The sequence below is a fragment of the Homo sapiens genome, chromosome 18, assembly GCF_000001405.40.
Source record: "Homo sapiens chromosome 18, GRCh38.p14 Primary Assembly".
Taxonomy (NCBI): domain Eukaryota; kingdom Metazoa; phylum Chordata; class Mammalia; order Primates; family Hominidae; genus Homo; species Homo sapiens.
The window spans coordinates 52,206,715-52,227,969 of record NC_000018.10 but is presented as its reverse complement, the minus strand read 5'-3'; the positions used below and the strand labels follow the sequence as shown (position 1 = coordinate 52,227,969).

At 39.7% G+C, this 21,255-nt stretch overlaps 1 long non-coding RNA gene across 3 annotated transcripts in view; it reads right to left on the bottom strand.

The window, feature by feature from the left end:
- Positions 1-4,273: 4,273 nt before the first annotated feature.
- Positions 4,274-21,255, bottom strand: part of LOC105372121 (uncharacterized) — a 175,442-nt gene continuing 158,460 nt past the window's right edge. For 2 of the 3 annotated variants that reach the window (XR_001753539.1, XR_001753538.1), the window contains 3 exons: positions 13,462-13,607; positions 4,418-4,568; positions 4,274-4,304 (listed from right to left, as the gene is read on the bottom strand). This is a non-coding gene — a long non-coding RNA (uncharacterized LOC105372121). Of the gene's footprint in view, positions 4,305-4,417; positions 4,569-10,709; positions 10,783-13,461; positions 13,608-21,255 lie in introns of those variants that run through there. The other variant, XR_935473.1, reaches the window with a different exon arrangement.

Here is a 21,255-nt window from a genome sequence, read left to right as displayed (position 1 = left end):
TCTCAGTTATTTATAAAAGCATTGCAAATCAACTAGTTAATGCCTTCAGTTTTAATGATATAAAAACCAGAGCCAGAAATATTTTTAAATTATTTAACTACAGTGACATAGGATATCAGTCAGACTCCAGAAAATAAGAATACCTCTGTGTATGTTAAACAGCAGGAAATTCATGTATGGACTTGGTCACACTGGTGTAAAAAACAGCTGAGAAGGCAAACAGCGGCTTATTAATTAACCCAGGCAGTAGTCACAACAAGAGATTGCTATCACCCAAAGGAGAGAAATGTTGTTTCCAGAACCCAGAAGAAGCCAGAGCCACCTGAGGAGATGTCGAATCACAGTTTGGGTTTCCTGCAGGAGCTGGGAACCCAAAGAAACCAAAGACGGCAGCGATACTGGTAGAGAAACACAATTCCTTGACTTGATATTTTGTGACACAGATATAGATATAGATATAGATATAGATATATAGATAGATTTAGATATAGATAGCACGCAATTCCCTTCTTCTGCTGTAGAGCTAAGAATGAGACACAACTTGGTTTCTCCCCTTTTCCCTTTCCCTCCTGCCAGTTCTCTACCTATGTCTCACATTGTCTAAAACCCATGGAAACTAGTCAGCAAAGGAGTCTGCTAGCTGGAATTTGCAAGCTAAAGAGGGAGAATATATCTTAGTTCAATCAGGCAATAACTGACTCTAATGGTTAGTGACAGAAATGACCCTGAATAGGATGATTTCCATGGCACACAAAACTTCAACTGCTCACTTTTAGACCACAAGTATTTCTCCTCTGCTATCATTCTAACCTTGTAATTCCTATAGCTCAGGGGCCTTGATGATTCAATCCTTTGAGTCTGTCTGGTTCTTCAGTGGTCCTACTTACAGGAGGAAGTTATTCTAAAATCTCCCTTCCATCCAATTAATTAGACCAATAAACACTTTTCAAAGGTTCTATCTTCCCAGTGTCATCAGATCTTTTCTGGCACACAAAGCCATCCATAGCCTGTCCTCAGCCTAATGCCCCAGAGTCATTTTACACTGCTCTTCCTTGGTATATATTTGCTGCTCTTGACTTTACACAAAATGCTTTTACTCCATGCCTTCTGTGCCTGTTAAAGTCTCACCTCTTCTATGAAGTCCTCTATAATTTCTCCAGCCTTCTTGGCCTCCCTCTCTCAGTAATTCCTATAGCACATTAGAACTGGCCATACTGTAGCAGCCAATCCCTTGCTATTATGTAATTATTTTCTAATTGTTTCATGTATATTATTCTTGGAATGCCAACAGTGGTAAGCCCTTGATGAAAATGACTATGCCCTCATATTACTTATGTATGTATACCCTGTATCATTTGGATTTGTGTTGATCACATCAGAGATACTCAATACTAGTTTAGTTTCCTCCATTTGTGTGTGTGTGTTCACAGCACTTACTAGAAATATGCTGTCATATCCACTAGAATAACCTTTACTCTGCCTCTGCTCTTGTCTATATTCTTTTATCCTATAAGGTTTAACTCAGTCTCCTCAATCTCCTGGACTTCTAAGATGTTATATAATTTCTAGCTCTTGACCAGAGCTCCCTTATTTTCTCTTTCCAATATAGGCTCTCTCTTTTCCTAGTCTACTTCCTCTTGAAGGCAGGAATCATATTTTAAGCTTTTTTTTTTTTTTTTTTTTGAGACGGAGTCTCGCTCTGTCGCCCAGGCTCGAGTGCAGTGGTGCGATCTCGGCTCACTGCAAAATATTTCCATACTACCTTGCACAGTGAGCCCAGATGAGAACATAGACTGAATTTTACTGTTTTTCTATGTGTCCCAGAATTTAATGTAGTATTTGGCATATGTTAGGTAATCAACAAATATTTCTTAAATGAATTAATGATAAAAAAATTATAATTCAAAGCTAGGTTGATTTAAAATAATTTAAAAATATTATTTCTGAAAAATTTGGGCATAAAGACCAATTCATTTTCAAGAAAGTTTTGGAAATAAGAAACAAAATCCACTGGTGTTACTTATACTACAATAACCTGATTTTGATTGGTAGCTTCGAATTCTTTTCCTGTCAAATTCTTACCAGAGGATCTAAAAGTAGCAAACTGGATCAATTTTCATTTTCATTCCCCTGCTTCAATTTTGGGGACATTCTGGGGAGCCTCCTAGGGGAAATGTGAAGAGCAGAGAAATGCTCAAAATGCAGAAAATAAGAGTAGCAGGAGGAGAAGCAAGAGGCCTGGACAATGTACACATTAGCTAACCCCAGCTGATTTTTATGCCTTGAAACAGTATGTAACACAAGAGACTTTAAAATCCATGTTTTAAGCAGAATCAATCTTATGCTTTGAAAAGGTATGATCTTTTGCACTAGAAGATCTGTCACTTACCCTCTCTCAGCTCTAATACATCTGCCAAATCAATATTTGCTTGTAAGCCCAACATTACTCCAAAATGATAGATATTGAATTGCCAGGAGCCACATAACACCTTAGGGTTGGCCCTTTACCAAGAAGAGGAAGATGATGGAGGAGAGGAAGGAAAAAGGGAGAACATGTAGAAAAGGAAACGGAAGGTGCAATCACAGGAGATGAGACAGCCTGGTGCTAAGGGTTGCTTACTTCACACCTGTGCCATAGGTTCCTTTGTGTATAGATTGATTTGGCTCAAAGTGTCCTCTTTATGAAAGGAAAGGCTTTTTCATTAATTCATTTTGCAACATAGAATACATCTGAGACAAAGACTAGGTATGATATCCCACATGCTATTTATGCTTCTGGCTCTGTGATTTCCATATAGAAAACAGAGATGTCAGCGAATCACTTCATTCTTTTCAGGGAAACCTTGAGTGGGTACACAACACAGTCACTAAGAAAAAAGTCACTAAGAGCACTAAGATGTGCTCTGCACCCCTTCTCTGCCACCATCTGAAGTTCTCCACCTGGAGGCCTGTCTCCAAATGGCCTCCTTTTCCCCAGCTGATTTACTGGGAGTCACTGATTTACACGGGCACTGCAGAATAAAGGATGCTTGGTTTTTCTTCTGTGTAAAATCGTGTGCCCCACCTGTACTTCACCTCACATTATGCATGCATTCACATGTATACATAAAGCATTATGTGTACATTCACACATGGCCTACTTCAGCTAACATGCATGCTTCCTTTTCCTGTCCTCAAAACCAAATGATTTTAGCCTTTTGGGATCTCTTAATTGGGGCCCTAAAAATATCACTAAAGTTACTATTTGGCAACATGTCTATATTACTTTTGCTGGGGTAACTCATTATTACTTTATTTTCAATTTCAGTGTATACTTCTGTACATCATGATAAAGATTCCAGTCTGGCCAGAAACTATCCCTAACACTAACTACCCATAACTCATGATGCTCCTTTTGGACCAGGTCTAAAAAGGACCTTATCTTAGTCCGTTCTGTGTGGCTATAACAAAATAACACAAACTGGGTAATTTATAATGAACAGGAATTTATTTGGCTCATGGGTCTGGGAGTGTAGAAGTCCAAAATCAAGGGGCCACATCTGGTGAGTAGCTTCTTGCTGGGTCATCTCATAGCAGAAGGTGGAAGGGCAAGACAGCACCAGAGAGAAAGAGAAAGGAAGGGGGCCTAACTCACCCTTTTATCAAGAACCTGTGCCTGTGGTAACTAACTTGCTCCCTCACTAAGGACATTGACCTATTTATGAAGGCAGAGTCCTCATGATGTAATCACCTCTTAAAGTTTCTATATCTCAACATCATTGCAATGGGGATTAAGTTTTCAACACATGAGCTTTGGGGACACATTCAAACCATAGCAAACCCTCTTTAATGGTTAAGTGCTCTAAACTATACCGTACATTCTGTATCTTAAGAAGAACTGCCCTGAAAATATTTGAAGAGAGTTCTCCCCTTAGACCGTTCATCTTCAATTTAGATGTTTTTAATATCTTTATCATGGCTTCCAGGACAATCTTAATCTCTCTCCTCTGGATGAACTGCATTTTGAAAGCATGCCTTTAAAATGTAACTCTTGAAACTGAGTTCAATAAACACATCAGTTGACTTCTGTCTTCTACTTACAATGTAGAAAGCGAAAAAGATTGATGAACCCATTTACTACCAACTAAAAACAAAACAAAACACCAGACCATCTGCAAATTGGCAATTGTCTTGATTCCATCAGAGAGCTGAGATTGCAGAGCAACCAACTACCCCAAAATATAAGACAAGACAGCAGCCTCCATGAAGATGTAGGATGCAAACACATGCTTACCTGGAGGAGATGCTTCTGGACACCATGCACCCTGGTAAGGAGAAATAGGTCACAATTTTAAACAAATTGCTGAAGGCTAAAAGTAGGCTAGTGCGAGAATATAGAGCCCTAATAGCAATTGACTCAAGAAGAATTTGCACTTACTTTTCAGGCTTCTTCTCAAGGTAATTTCTGGTGCTCAGGAGAAAGATTGGGAGCAGCAGATGAGAAGAGAGGAGGCTTCCTGATGGAGCTGTCATGGCACAGGGGCAGTCTTTGCTGGCACGACACAGACCCCCTCCTAAAGCCTTCTCCCCTACAGAGGGCAAGAGCCTTAAGCAAGTTGAGGGAAAGCAGCAAATCCTGTCACACTAAAGCACAGGTGAAGACTCTGAGGCTGGGGAAGGAAACAGATTAAAAGAAGAGAACCACGACCCTGGAGGGACACAGGTGTATATCCCAAGCCCAGATCATTAGCAATCTCCTGCTATGGGGCTGGAACAGGACCACAGCAATAAAGAGCACCAGGATTTGCCGGCAGAGAGCTGTTGATGCTCTGATCACTGAGCCATCAGTTTTATTACTTAAATATCTCACCTCAATGCTAAACATTGAGGTTTTTAAAAACATCATTACTGACTCCTAAATTTTTGTCTAAAAATTAACTCCTGGTTTTCCCCAGTCATGTTACAAGACGTAGCTTTTTGAATGGCTGCCAAAGAATGGGGTTTAGACAATCTCTTTACTTTAGGGCTTTGAAAATAGACAACAAATAGAGAAGGGGGAGAAAAATGTTAGAGGATTAAAAATTCAACAGCCCTCAGAAGCTTGGCTGTTCTTTTCTTTATGCTAGCCTCCAAGTCTACTTTTTGAATATTGAGATGATTGGGACAGAACAGGATAATAAATATGTAAGAAAAAAATCATCTAATCTCAATAATCTTCTTTTCTCCCCCTATTGTTGGCTGACAGAAAAACAAACACAAGGGTAAAGAAAATGCTAGTTTCTCATCTGCAGTGGATGCGTATGTCTGAGGGGTGAGCTTTCTCTACCAAGTGCCCGGTGATTCAGGTTGTAATGAGAAGAGCAAAGCACCAGGTCTCCTGCCTTTCTCTAATCCTTCTGAATCAGTCCCACCTTGCTGCTCCTTCTGTGCTTGTTGGAAGCGTCTCATGGGTTTTGTTGTTGCAGTTGTTGTCTCAATACCACAGACGTCTTTTAGTCTTTCCTTCCATCCTCTATCCTCCAATGCTGCAAGCTGCTAAGGGATTTTCATGGCACAGGTGGGACTTTATCCCACACTCACTGCATTGCATTAAATAAGGACAATGACATTTCCAGAGCCCCACAGGAATGGGGGAGGGGGGAATAAAGGAAAGAGAGATAATTATGGTCCTGTTAAATGTATTCTGCTTCCCTTCATCTAATCCCTAAAGCCTTCTAGGTATGCAAAACCCAAGAGACTGTGTTTCTGAAGTCATTTAAGGAAAAGGTCTATGTAGAGAAGACAAGTTGAGGGGTTATGTCATCAGGGAGTGCTCTGCTCTAATGGCCTAATCATGCTTAGGCGGTTTGCCAGGGATTTGGGGTTATTTTGTTTTGTTGTTATTTACTTTCTTTTTTCTTACTACTGGTTTTGGTTTCAGTGTTCCCAGAATTTGCAGTAACAAACTTTTGAATATAACATGTAAGGAAGATGGTGATTTTTTTTTTTTTTTTTTACAGTTCAGATTAGAGGTTTAGGTAATAACCAAGAGACCTTGTTTTCTCCCTCTCTCCTTCCTTCTTTCATCAGCTATTTATTAAACACCTCCATGTGTAAATAGTGCCACCATCATTCTAATGACAGTTGGTTAAAAGCAATGTAGGTGATACAAAAATGAATGAAACACAAACCCTTTCTTCTTGTAGCATAAGAACTAGCCGTGCAGTTCCAGAATGGCTATGGTGAGCAAACACTTCGCTGTGGAACAATTGCTCCCTGGCCATTATGCTCAGGCAGGAAGGTGCCAGGGTCTGCAGCACACACCCTAGTACCCCAGTGCTCAGCCAGTGCTTGGCAGAAACTGGGCTCCATAAATGTTTCTTGAACTAACTGAGTGAATGAATAGACGGACCCTAGAGAACTTTCCATTCACATTTTCTGTGTCCAAACCAACTTTCAGATTTGGATCTTTATTATGAGGAATCTAGACACACAGAGACCTGCTAACTCACCTCCACAAATACCAAAGGGGATTTTCCAGTTCTTGGAGACATTTGGAGACTTTCCAAATCATGGCAGAACATAGAGAAATTACCAAAATGCAAGCCTCTGAAGAAGAGTTCTCTAAACTCCAGAACTCTGCAGACTTCCCGCTCTACTTTAAAAGCAGCAAAACTACAATACAGAACAAAACAACTTTAAAGGTACTAAAAATCCCTACTCTTGCCATTTTTTTGTATATTACTCTTTATTTGAAGATTTTAGTGTCATCCAATTCACTTTGCATGGTAATTTTTTCTGCAACTCCTGAATGGTGTTTTATCAAGTTCAAGTTGACCATATAAAGAGATGGGGCACTTAGAGTTTTGTGAGAAATTCTGTTATTTTGTAGGCAACTGTTATGGTAAAACTTATTTTTTACAGTAAGATACCAATTAGTTGGATATTGCTTTCTCATGCTTCCACACGAGAGCTGCTTCCACAAATCTTTAGATATGCGGCCAATTTAATTAGTTTTCCATATTATACGTATTTGTAATATCCCTATCTTCTCTCTGCCTTTTCCCATCTCAGCATTGCATCCAACTTCTTCAAACCATCTAACATGTCTTCTCTTTTTCACAGTGAAGCTATCTTTTTTGTCCCTAGGAATTTGAAACTTTTCTAACCTTATTATCTTCTTAATGTCCTTTGGAAAGTGGTAGCATATAGATCTGAATTCAGGGTTCAAAATACCATCAGGTTAGTATGACTGAGTGCCCACCTCTCCTTTAACCCGAGCAGTGGCATGGCAAGCACATCACACCTGGCACATCACAGTGACCCAATTCCATTTGATGCAATTCAATACAATTAAATGAATCAAATGGCTTCTGTGGGTCAGGAAGTTGGCTGGTGCAACACACAAAAAATGAAAAGATTCTGAAGTCTGCACTCAAACACTTTAGCATTCACTAGGGAGATACACTCACAAATCTCTTAATTGTTCATTTGTAATAAACATTTTACTACCTGTATGAACAAAGTCCTGTGAAAGTACAGAAAACTATTATTTCTAAAGGGTGTGTGTGTTTGCATGTTTTCAGGAAGTGGTGGGGTCTGAGATTGGCCAGAGAGTCTACCCAGAAATAGTAACACTGAAGCTGGTTCAGTGTAAAAGTCAGGTGTAACTGGGCCAGAGCAGACAAGAAAGGGAGTTTCAGCAGGAACCCCAAACACAGAAGTGTGGCAAAGCATGGAGTGTTTCAGGAATGCACTGTGATTAGGGAATAGAATGTAACAGAGGAGGACAGAGCAAAGAGCAAGTCTGCCCAGATTGAATTTGGTTGCCAAAGAAAAAGATGATCCATAGTAGGTAAAGGGGTGTTATGGAAAATTTTAAGTAGAGAATTGGCATGCTCCAGTTCAGACTCTTGAAAGATAATAGTAGGGCAGTGTGTTAGAGCGACAGGGTAAAGGAAAGCTGAAGGCAGGAAGATTAGATATAAGGTTTTAGAAAGAGTCAGAAATATACTCTTGCACGTGTGTGTGTGTGTGTGTGTGTGTGTGTGTGCATGCACATGTGTAGTGATAGGTAGGTTGTCCAAGCTATAGGCTCAAGAAATAGCTCATCTCAGCCCTACTGCACATCTGCAAAATTCTCCCCCATTAATATGTAGTTGCCTGCCTCTAAGCTGAAAAATGATGAAGGCATGGCAAAGAATTGTTGTAATCTTTATACATTTTAATTTACTTCTTAAATAAACATATAAGAGCCACATTATACAAATATTTAATAGCTTCCAATGCCCAGATGATGGAAAATATCTCCCTCAGCAGTAGCATTCCCCACCTGAGTTCAGGTAATTCTTTCATTATGCAAACCACCTTGACCTCCGAAACCATATGTTATTCTAATAATGTGTTTGAGAATATGGTTGTGATTTTCATGTCTCTCAATAGTAGAGAATGATAGCTCAGTGTATCATATTTATTGTGGTAAAGGTAGTTAAGCCATGCAAAGGGGCCAATGGAATACAGAGTCTCCCTCTTATCCTCAGAGATATGTTCCAAGCCCCCCAGTGGATGCTTGGAACTATAGATACTACCGAATCCTATATATGCTATGTTTTTTCCTATATAGTAATGGGTGGGTAGTGTAGATAACACGGACACACAAGACAAAGGGATGATTCATGTCCCTGGCAGTACAGAGTAGGATAGTGAGAGATTTTATCATGCTACTCAGAACAACACATAATTTAAAACGTATGAGCTGTTATTTCTGGAATTTTCAATTTAATATTTGTGGACAGTTGGTAGCAGTTGACTGCTGGTAACTGAAACCCCAGAAAGCAAAACCATGGATAAGGGGTGACTACTGTATACAAAATGACCCCACAAAGGAGGAGAACATCACTATTTCCTTGGGAAAATGATTATAAAGTATAAGCATACTCCATATATGTAAAGTGGCTTATTTAAAAACATTTAATATCAAAACATTTATCTGTTTGACTGGGCTTTAACTCAGAGTTTAGCAATCTAGAGTGACCATGCAGGGAAGCTGGTGATTCGGCCTCCAGGGCCATATCCATTCTCCACTCCCTTGGCTGCCTTTCCCCTCCAGACAGTAGGAGGTGATATTGCACACAAGCTAAGGGTGCAGGCTCTGGAGGCTATCTAGGTTTAAATGCCACCTCTACTACTTTTGTGATCCTCTCAAGCTGCTTAACTTTTCTTTATTTCAGGTTGTTTTGTTATGTATTTTAGAATTAGATTAATTTCTAGTTTCATGGGGTACACTATTGAAAAACACAAAGATCTCTGTCCTTGTGTTGTTTGCATTCTAGGACAGGGATAAGACAGTGAACAATCAAATGACTCATAGTAAACACATAAACACATAGTATATGAGCAAGTGACTAGTGCCATAGGAGTGCAGTAAAGTAAGGAAGGGTAAAAGTAATGGCAAATGCTGAGCGGGTGGGTGGCATAGTGTAGCATTTAGTAGGTAGCTGGCCTTCCTTGTTGAGAAGGTGAGACGTGAGGAAGTCAGTTGAAGGAGGAAACGGAGTAAGCCCAGTAAGTCCTGGGATAAGGGCCCTGAGGTCCTACCTGGTGTGTTGGACAAGCATCCTGGAAGCCAGTGTGGCTGCAGCTCTGGGAAGGGGAGTGGGTGTGACAGGACATCAGACAGACAGTGTGAGGCCAGGTCACTAGCACCTTCTAGGCTACATGGGATGAGGTACCAGGGAAGAGGGAGGAGTTTCCATGCCCTCCCAGGCTTCTACAGTGAAATGGATTTAAACAGAGGAGTGACAAGACCTGATTTACAGTGCGAAATCTACTGTGTTGAAAACCACCACAAAGCACCAAAGGTGGGAGCAGTCAGGCATTTTAGGAGACTTTGGCTGAGATGCCAGTGAGAGGTAATGATGTCTATACTCGAGGTGGTAGCAGTGGTGTGGGTAAAATATGATCAAGTTTCATATTTATTTTGAAATTAAAGCCACAAGATTTCCTGATAGGCAGGATGACTCTAACATTTTTGGTATGAACAATGGAAAAGATAAAGTTGTCACTAGCTGAGAAACTTGTAAGCAGAGAAGATTTCAGGAGAAAGATCTGGAGTTCAGTTGTGGTGATGTTGAGTTAGAGAGGTCTCTTAGACTCCAAGGGAAGAGATTGAACCAGCACTTAGATATCTAATTCTCGAGCTCCAGGGAATAGAGAAAGAATTTGAGAAATAATCTGGACATTATCTAAATATATGCATCTTAAATACATTTAAAGCCAGAAATTTTGGTGGAGATCATCAAAGGAGGGAATAAATAGGATGAAAAATTTTTTTTTAAATGATGAATGTCTGAGCCCTGGGACACTGGAATTCTAAAATATTTGAAACATTACAACCTCTGACATCAAAACTAGTTTAATTATGAAGCTGATGAGGCTTGAGTCTTGGGCTTTTCCAGGGCCAGAGCAGGGGCCCCAGTAATATCTTTTTAAATTGTGCAAAAGTCAGATGTTTTAATCGCACCTCAGTTAAGATCACTGTCCCTTTTTACTCCACCCTCTCTTTTTACATTGGACTTCTCTTGTGACAGAGGGTCCACTTTTTTTTTTTTTTTTGGAACATCTAAGAGAAGTTGGAGACATATTTGGTTCAAGTGTGTTAAGTCTATTAATATGGTTCAGAGTCATTTCATGTATAATTAAGCATTTGCTACCTGTCACGGTCTGGGAATGGCTTCCAGGAACATTTCTAACTTCCATGATGCCACTTCAGCTGGGGTCATGACACCAAGGTGCAGGCCCAGAGCTCCTGGTATCTTACAGGTTCTAGCACCAGATAATAAAGGAGAAACAAAGCCTGAAATTTATGAGGCCAAAATCTTTTCTGGAAAGTTCTTCTAATCATCAGCGTATAAAATTGTGATGGGAAGATTTAATTCCCATGGATACCTAGTCAAAACAGAAGTTCTCTTCTATCAGAAATACACTAGAAAATGGAAAGAACACATAACTATAAACACCTCTGACTTTTTCTTTTCTTTCTTTTTTTTTTTTTTTTGATGGGAATTGGTGTGAATGGAATTTGTCAGGATTCCTGTGGCTGTACAAACTGATAGTAGCACTACAAACTGAGTCTATATATAACAGTTTATTTATAAAGGAAATGTGATAGAGGCTTTCCCAAGTTTGGCAACAATCCTAAATTCATAACGAGTTGTGAAAATGAGGGGAAAAAATCTAAACTATTAATGAGAAACAAATTTTAATGAAAAAAATACTGAGGAAATACTGAATTATATTTCTTTTGTGAAACTCTACTGAACAATGTATGGAAATTGATACTGACAACTGACAAATCATTCAAAGGCAGAGGTGATGGGAAAGTATGCTGCCAACAAAAATAAGGTGTGGATATGTGGTGCTGTGATATATATACTGGTTTTCCTCCATGGTTCCTGGCTTATAACTTCCATAGCCCTTAGTCTTTTGTTAGACTATTGGGTGTGCTAGGCCTCAGGGGCAGGCCTCTGAGCTTCTTCTGCTCTCCTTTCACTTTAATGTTCTTCTGTCTTTCTGACTGTGGGCCTTAAGACCCTCCTATGAGAGGGACCTACCCTGTACCCTGGGGAAAGGAATGCTGACATCATGAAGCTTCCATAAAAACCCAAGAGGACAAGGTTCAGGGAGCTTCCTGATGGCTGAACACCTGGAATTTGCTGGAAGGTGGCAGGCCCTGGGAGGGCATGGAAACTCCACCCCCTTCCCTGGTATCTCACTCTATGCAGCTCTTCATCTGTATCCTTTGCAATAACCTTTATAATAAACTGGTAAAGGTAAGTGTTTCCCTGAGTTTCATGAGCCACTCCAGCAAATTAATCAAACCCAAAGAGGGGATCATAGGAACCCCAACTTGTAGCTGGTCAGTCAGAAGCTCTGGAGGCCTGGACTTGCAGCTGGTGTGTGTATAGGAGGGGACTGAGCCCTCAACCTGTGGGATCTAACACTACCTCTGGGTAGAGAGTGTGAGACTGAATTAGAGGACACCCAGCTGGTATCTACTGCTTGCTATTTGTGGGGGGAAACCCATATATTTGGTCACAGAAGTCTTCTATGTTGATTGTCGTGGTGTGAGACTAGAGGAAAAATGTGGTTAGAAAGAGTTTTCCCTACACAGGCTGGAAATTAAATAAATTCATGAAAAATAAGTTACTACGTTATTTTTCTGGATTTTTATATTTGTGGTACTTGCTTTTATATGTTTATAATTTGTTGTAATTTCCTTTCTCATCTAAATAAATATTCACTTTTGTACTTAATTTTGTATTAGCAGTTTTGTATTCTTTTCCTTAAATAGACCCTGTAATCATATAAGCTTCAGGCCATACAAACTCTGAATTTATTTATGCCTGGTACATCATCAGCACAATACAAACTAGACCTTCTTGTGCATTTTCCTCACCATTCATGCTCCCCACAGCCTACAGTAGAAGACTGGTGTTTAGCCTCCACTCCCAACATGGCCACCTCCATAGCCACTGGTCAGCCAGACCCATGGCTGATAGGGGATCTTTGCATGATTCCCAGTGTCTCATCTTGCTTTCCTTTAAGCAATCTGCTCTCCAGGGTGACGTTGTTTCCTATGCCATGGAACTGACAAGTTAGCAGCCACTGTGTGTGTGTGTGTGTGTGTGTGTGTGTGTGTGTGTGTGTATGAGAGAGACAGAGAGAGAGAGAGAGTGTGTGTGTGTGTGTGTGTGTGTGTGTGTGTGTGGTGGAGAGAAGGGTCCATGGGTCTCTAGCTTCTAGAGATAATCATGGGTCAACAGGAAGAAAATAGGTTATCTCCTGCCATGGTGAGACAGATTTATATTTTTTGCTTCGTAGAAGCCATTATTGAGTTGAAATATACTATCACAGATTTTTGCATATTTATGTTTGTAGTATTTTGAAAGCCAATGTGCACTTGAATGACATACATTCATCATTGCAGTAGGTGCAGAAACAAGGATTTGTTCTTGGTGCAGCACGGGACTATGCACATAGTAGGCACACACAATACGTATTTCCTAAGTGCGAAACCTCAGGTCAATATTCTCTACAAAGCAAGAAAAAAACTAAACCTACAATTGTCATAGGGAAGAAAAATGTCTATTAAATAGAATAAATGAACTAGTTTAAGCACATCAAAAACAACTACACAGAATTGAAGAGCAAAACTTATATCTCACACATCATGACACGTTTGCAAAACATTTTTCCAGGGTGCCACATTTTTCCAGTGTTGCAAATATAGTGAATACAAAGTAAATGACTGAGTAAAAAGTAATAACATCTTTTAAGAACTTATAAAATGACATGTAACTTTTCCCAGTCAATATAATTTGGGAAACAGTAAAAGTAAAATATTTTTCTAAGCTTAGAACATGCAAGACAAGCTTGAGAAGAACCTGCTAAGTTCAAACTGCATAGCATGTTGGGGTTTCCGACTCTGAATGTAAAACATACCTCTGAAAGTGTAGTAATGAAATTTCCAAATATGAGGGTTATTGGTTCCTAAAATGGAACGTCAAGTTGTCTTCTGCAATCTTGTTCTCTGCTTTTGGAAAAATGAGTAACTTCGTCTAATGGTGATTGGAAGGTGAACTGGAACCCTGTTTGAGGGCAGAATGATGACAAATTAAATTTTAATGCATGCTTTGAGGTGAAGAAATGCAGTACTCTTCAAAAATGGGGAGAATAATTTGAAAACAACAGAAACTGAATTGTTTGTTTTCTACAATCCCTACCTGAGTGATTAGGAGCTATGGTATGTTATCATCTCTCACAGAATTTTACTAAATAGAAACTGCTTTTAGTTTAATAAGATGGTAAGCTTCACTAGGATTTACCAAGAACTTGAGATAATAGAAGGGAAGTCTTGAGCCATGGATTCTAGTCCAGAACTTCCGTGTCTTATGTGACTTTGGATTTCTGACTTTAACTTCTCTAGGTTCCAGTTCTTTTTCCATAAAATAAAGGGGTTGAGTTTGATTAAATGTTATTAAACCAGACTCTGTGGTCCTCTCAGAGGTTTATTAACAAAATTCAAATAATCCATGACCACCTGAAAATTATACGTAGAATTTTGTGTGTCTTTGAGTTTTGCTGGTTAAGTAAAATTTTCAGATTCTCAGAGTTTTTTAAAATATAGAAATACATTTTAATTAGATGATATCTGAGGGCTTTTTAAAACTTACATAAATTCATTTTATACTGCTGTACAGTATTTTTAACTTCATGGTCAGGTATTCTATCAGAACACTAGCAGGCACTATATTAATTCACAATATTAATTGATAAGCTGTCTTATTTTTTATTCTGGACTGATGAGGTTAGTTGGAGTTATTGTGTTCTTTGTCAGAGACTAAGAAAAAGCAAATGTCAATTAAAATGCAGTAGGACAATGACAAAATGAAAGAAGATGAAAGGAAATTGTGTTAAATTAGCTACGTGCTCCATCTTTGAACTTGAATGGCCATTTCTCAGACATTTTCTTGACCTCTTGAAATAAGCCTCTCAATTGCCCCTCCCCACTCCCTCATCTTCTATCTGTACATCTTACAAACAGTTATATAGAGCCTACTGTGTGTCTCCACCCAAAAGGCAGGGAGTAAAGCATGAAAACAACAGGAGCTGGCCTTGATTTGCACAGATTTATTCTTCCATAGAACAAGGTCAACCTTACCCATAGGCAGGTTAAATGGCTTTCTGTATGAAGTGATGTAAAAGTCCCTGAGAGAGGGGCCCCTGCCCAGAGGCACCTGGTTCTGGCCCTGTCAGGTGCCTGCAATGCTTACATTAGTCACTTATTTTTATTAAGGCACTGAGAGTCTCCCTGTTACAATGCAAAGGTTACTAGGGAGGGAAAACAAATTAAATCATTAGCACAGATGAGTTAAACACATTAGCTTTACCCTGCAGGTACAGAAAAAGGATACATGAGGATTGATTGCACTGTGCAGAGAAAAGTTCTAGAGATCACTGAAGATATCTCCTTTGGGATATAAACTTTTTAATGTCAAAAAGTTTTAGAGCCTCACATGACAGTATTTTGGCTTCTAGAACAATAATGCGCATCATTTACTAATGCATACTATGTACCAAGTGTAATACGAAGCACCTTACACACATTTTCTCCTGTAAATCTTACAACAGCAATACCAAGAAGATATTTTAATCCCTATTACACGAATTCAGAAACAGAGTGTTCTGGGAGGTTAATTTTCCAAAGATTACACAGATATTAAGTATAAAACAGATCAGGATGCATCCACATCTCTCAGATTCCAAAACTTGGAATCTAGAGGTAGTATATTATACTGCTTGGGACTTTTAAGTCCTTGGTTTACTTCACCAGTTTCTATAGGGAAGTTTCACAATCATGGCAGAAGGCAAAAGGAACATCTTACATACCTGCAGGCAAGAGAGAGAGAGAGAGAGAGAGAGAGATTGTGCAGGGAAGCTCCTCCTTATAAAATCATCAGATCTCATAAGACTTATTCACTATCACAAGAACAGCACAGGAAAGACCTACCTCCTTGGTTCAATTACCTCCCATGACACATGGGAATTGTGGGAGCTACAATTCAAAATGACATTTGGGTGGGGGCACAGCCAAACCAGGTCACTCTCTTAATTCTAAATTAGTTTTCCCACCAACTCTTTGGTATTTCTTTTTCAATTGTCTTTACAGGTTCTTCTTCCTATTTTCATTGATTTAATTCTTGTGGTCCCCAGGGTTCCATCCTTAGCACTCTTCTCACACTACACACTCTCCTTGAAAGTCCTCACCTCTTGGATGGTAGTATGATGAGGAGTATAAACTTTCATTAATAGCATAGATCTTTGTTATGAGCTCCAGATTTCTATGTCTACCTGCCTTCTGGACATCTTCAAGTCCAGACTTGGGCATCTCAAACCCAAAGTATTAGTCAGGATTAAGTTCAACTATAAATGACTGAATTTACTCTCAGAGGCTTAAATAAAATCAATGTTTATTTATTTTTTTTCGCATGGGCATGCCAAGGCTGAAAAGGAGTCTCAAGATACTTTATCTCATTGCTTCACCATCCTCAATATGCAGCATCTACCTCATGGTCTAAGATGGCTATTACAGGTCTATCCAACCTATCTATATTCCCAGGCGTGAGACTCAGGAAATGAGAAACAGGGAGAAGAACACCTGCGGGAGGAGTACCCAACAGCTGTGCTTGCATCCCACTGGCCAGAACCTAATTATATGTTCACATCCAGCTGCAAGCAAGCAGAGACATGCCTAGCTAAAACATGGTATTTATTTTGGAAGGAAATGGGTGTTTGGGGCCAGCAAACAGCCTCATTAATCCTCAGCATATTTAAAAATAAATTTATCTATTTCCAAACAACAAAATCTGCTTTTCTTCTTCTGCTTGCTCTCTTTGTAAATGGTACTACTATCTACCCAACTGCCCAATTCAGAACCCTCCTCCTTCTTTACCTCCTACATTTAGCACGGCCAAACACTATTGACTTTACCTCTTCAATACACCTAAAGTCCATCTCCTCTCCTGAAATTAAAATGCACTTCCCTAGGTCCTACCATGACCATGTGCCACTTTCATAACTCACCATGTGCCACTTTTAAACAATCTTTGTGAAGTCAGTTCAGCTCCTTGTTTATCCATTACCTACTCTATTGACAAAGCCACTTTTTAAGCATAGCTTAGATCACAGATAGACCTATTGATCATCCTCCGATGGCTTCTTAAATCCTACCCAATCAATTTCATGTCCTTCACTGAAGCCTTATTGCTTATTAATACTCTCTGCCCTCTCCCCCTTGCTTTTTGCCCTCTGCAGTTTTGTCATCCAGAAGAGGTTTCCAGTTCCTCAAATACACTGGGCACTTTCAATCTTTGACCTCACATCCCAGCTCATTACTTGGAATGTCCTCCCTCTCTGCCCACCACCTGGATCCTAAATCCTGCTCATGCCTCATGGATCAGCTCAGGGTCATCTCCGTAAAGAAGGCTTCTATAAAGCTCACAGGCATGAAACTTTTGTTTTCCTATAGCATTTCCATCACACAATTTTCTACAATGCATTCTAATTAATTATTTTCTCTCTTCGCCCTGTCTTAGTCAGTTTGGGCTGCTGTAACAAAGTATCATAGACTGGGTAGCTTACAAATAATAGAAATTTATTTCTTACACTTTTGGAGGCTGAAAGTCTGAGATGTGGATGCCAGCACGGTTGAGTTCTGGTGAGAGCCCGCTTCCACCTTGCAGACTATGACCTTCTTGCTGCATCCTCTCTTGGTGGAAAGAGGGCAAAATAGCTCCCTGTCGTCCCTTTTCTAGGGCCACTTATCTCATTCATGAGGGTTCTACCCTTAAGGGCAAATGATTTCTCAAAAATCCCAACCTCCAAATACCGTCTTGGTGGTTAGGATTTCAACATACGAATTTTGAAAAGACACAAATATTCACCTTCCCATTGTACCTTCCCACCCTGTGGACACTAAGGAACAGATTCATTTGTCTATTGATCTCCAGTCCTTAGTATGGTGACTAGCACGTAATACTTTGACAATAAGTAAATGAGTTCCAGATATTTTTCCTACCATCTGGATTTCTTCTCTGATCAATCCCTGGGTACTCCAAAATACTAGTCATAGTTTGTTATCCAGACCAAGTAGTCCTGATATTTCTGCTCATGTGTACACTGGACCAGAATAACCTACCAGGGAGAAACCTCCAACCTGACCCTTATTCTTTATTTGCCTCTCTGCTACATAGCAGACATATCCATATGTAGAACATTTCAAACTGAAAATACCCCATTGTAAAACTATACATTCAGTTCTTATTCTAGAAGACTTATACCCCATTGTAAAACTATACCTTCAATTCTTATTCTAGAAGACTTTATTGAGTTCCCAAATGTAATAAAAAGCTCTTAATCACTAAAAAACTAATGTTTGTTGAGAATTAACTCAGAATTAATTCAGTATTGCAGCCCTCCTGTGTGCCAATGCTGAGGATGCAATCATGAGCAAAAACAGTTTCTCTTCTTATGGAGTTTCTTCCTTACTCAGGAGAATGTCATTGATCAAATAATTGCATTAATAAAAGTTTAATTACAAACGCTGAGAAGTACCTTCAATGAACTGAAGACAATTCTGTGATTGTGTGTATCAAAGAACTGTGACTTATATGAGGTGGAGAAGAGGAGGGTGAAAGGCCATGGTCAAATGGATCAAGGAAGTATCGAAGGGATGCATAGGCACTAAGTGGTGAGATGGTGAAAATGAGAGGAGCAAGCATAAAGTAAGAGTATTGAGACAGACGGAATAGCACATTCCAAGAACCTGTGGTAGAAGGACTCCCAGTGCTTTCAAGATAGTGAGAGGAGGCTGATATAACTGGAACATGTATAATAAGAATGAAGAGGTGGCACTTAGCCATCCTAGTAGAGCCAGTTCAAATATATGGGTCTTCAGAACAATTCTAATTAACTGCTTTATGAGATTAAAGCAGTTAAAGAGGAAATAACATGCTTTTCAGATAAAGGATTACCCCAGGGCTTGACAGACATGATAAGAGAAACTATATATGGCTTGGTCTGTAACTTCAATGAGCTTACAATTAAGAACAAGATATCTTAACACAAACAATTATGTATTAAGTAATGACCGACTTGTTTGTTAATGATTCAAGGAGCCAAGGAATTCAGAGATGGGCTCATTCTTTTACTTCCTCTAAAGTTTGTTGCCCAGTGAGCACTAGGATAGATAATTGTCCTAATAGGAAAATGTACTTTATTTCACGGTGTGTTTATCTGTCCAGGAGATCTTTCATGGGTATTTTTCTTATGCTAATAAATTATTGAAAGTTATAAATGGGGAGTGGGAAATTATCAGCAAGGACTTATAAAATACAATCTGTCCCACTCTGAAAAGACCAAACAGGATTTTTTCCAGAAAAATTACATTTAATTAGCTCTATATTTGCTACTAGTAGCAGATGGGATTTAAGACTTTAAAGTAATAATACGCAAAAGGCCAAAATGCTCTTGAAACAAGTGCTAACCTTTGCCACTGAACAGAGTGTGAGATGCTATTGATGTTACTGAGGCATGAAGGCAAGAAGTGGGAGTGTGACCTGTTCTTTTGAAGTCACTAGGAAAGCAACTGGCAGTGACCTGCAGGCATACATAGATTTAGGACTATGATGTTCTACAGTCCAGCTGCATGTCCTTGCGGAAATATACCATAGCCATGGCCAGGCTGTGCGAGTGTGAATACAGTTATTAATGCATAACTAGTTTAATAGCTAATTCTTAATGAATGCTTATTATGTCTTGGGATCTGCTCTACATAGTTCATATGTATTAACTCATTTAATTCTTAGGAAAACATACAAAGTAGGTATAATTTGCTTCATTTTGTAAATGAGGAGTCTTAGACACAGAAGGGTTAAGTAACTTTCTCAGGGCCTCACAGTTAGGAGAGAAGCCAGTATTAGAATCCAGGCAATTGGTCTCCAAAGTATATCCTCTTCGTGAAAAAAATGCTACAGTGCTCTCATTCATGTGCCTACTTCAATGGTTAGTGCAAGAATTAGCTGTTCATATGCACCAGGGAGTTTAGGACAGTTCCTGGCACATAACAGTACCCATATTTGCTTTGAATATTTTCTCCTCCACCTTGCCCTAGTCTGATAGAGATGACAGAATTGTCATCCTTATCTTTTCCTTCTATTCTGGTTTCCTCACAGTTCAACTGACTCCCAGCAACCAGAACATTGTCAGCTAATATTTGTTAATTAGCTGCGTTTTGTCTAATTCTTTCAGGTGACTGTAGGATAGGAATGGGGAGGAGGAACTCACAAGCACATTGGTGATTTAAGAACCACAGGGATGCACACTCCATCCAGGCCGGGATTATATGGTATGAACATGAAATATTCTAGAATAGCAAGAAGCCTGAAAGCATCAAGTCTCCTCTACACGCCACAATCAGATGTTCGCAAACTATTTCCCAAAGAAGGAAGTTGGGGGGTGAAGATGGTAAACTACAGACAAAACTGCATGAGATGTGGATTAGCGAAAAGGAAATTCAGATGTGGGAAGAGAAATCAGAAGTAAGCACAGGGCAGTTTCATATCATGACATCGTACACTGCATAGTTGATAAAAAGACTGTGCCACAGGCGACAGGTGAGGTAATGACATATTAACTTCAGGACCATGGCTTGAAGGCAGGGGATAAAAGATAACCTGTGTATGTATTTCCAGGATGAATGAAACCATAATCTCTCAAAGTCAAAGATACTTGGCTCTGAGTTCTCTCTGCCGAAGAAAGAGATAATATCATCAAAAGCCAGAATGTTTTGTCAAAGGTCTGGCTGTGGGGCTAGTTAGTTCAGGGCGACAAGCTGCAAGTACAACTGATAAGAGGCAGAAAATAACGAAGACCATGGAAGCTTCCAGAACAATGTCTTCCAAACAGCGAGACTGCTGAGGGTCGAGGCTCTCTGGAGCCTCAGGTTCTGGGAATATTTTGCAACAGACTGCTGCACTGCTTTCGTACCATGTGAGGACAGGCTGGTATTCTGCAACGGACCCCAGTGGACACACAGCTGGAGCAGAAACAGCCGCAGAAACTAATAATAGAGCAGCCTGGAGCACAAACACAATGGCTGTGAAAGTCGTGGTGGGCGACACAGACCCACAGGGGGACACGTGATTGTCACTTCTCCTGCCTCTCTCTCCCTTGTCCTGATTAGCTGTAATAACTCTGATCAGCTTTCAGAGGCATTCAGACACGGTAGAAGAGCTTTGAAATGGATTCCCTGCTCAGGTCTCTCCTGGTCTCAGGGTCTGGAGGAAATGCTTTCATTTTGCCTTCAGGTAACATTTTCCAAAAGTGAGAAATATTGGAAATAAGCGTTTATTCAGTTCTCACTGTGCATTAGGCACTTTACATCCTCTATCTCATTTAATCTTCACCACAACCCAATGTGGCACTAAATCTCTTTCTAAAAGTATTTCCATTTTTACACATAAATAAATGGAGGCTTGGAGAAAACAGTAACTTGGCCATGTCACACAGGGCCATAATTCAAGTCCAGTTTGTTTGGATTCTAGAATGTGTGCTCTTCTCTTCTCCACTACTTTTTGGATGGTGGTTTTTAATAAGCAGAGTGTTTGGGACAGCGGAGTTTCTATTCTAGTCTATTATCAGCGAACTGTTCTAACACAGCTCTGTTCCATCAATGCT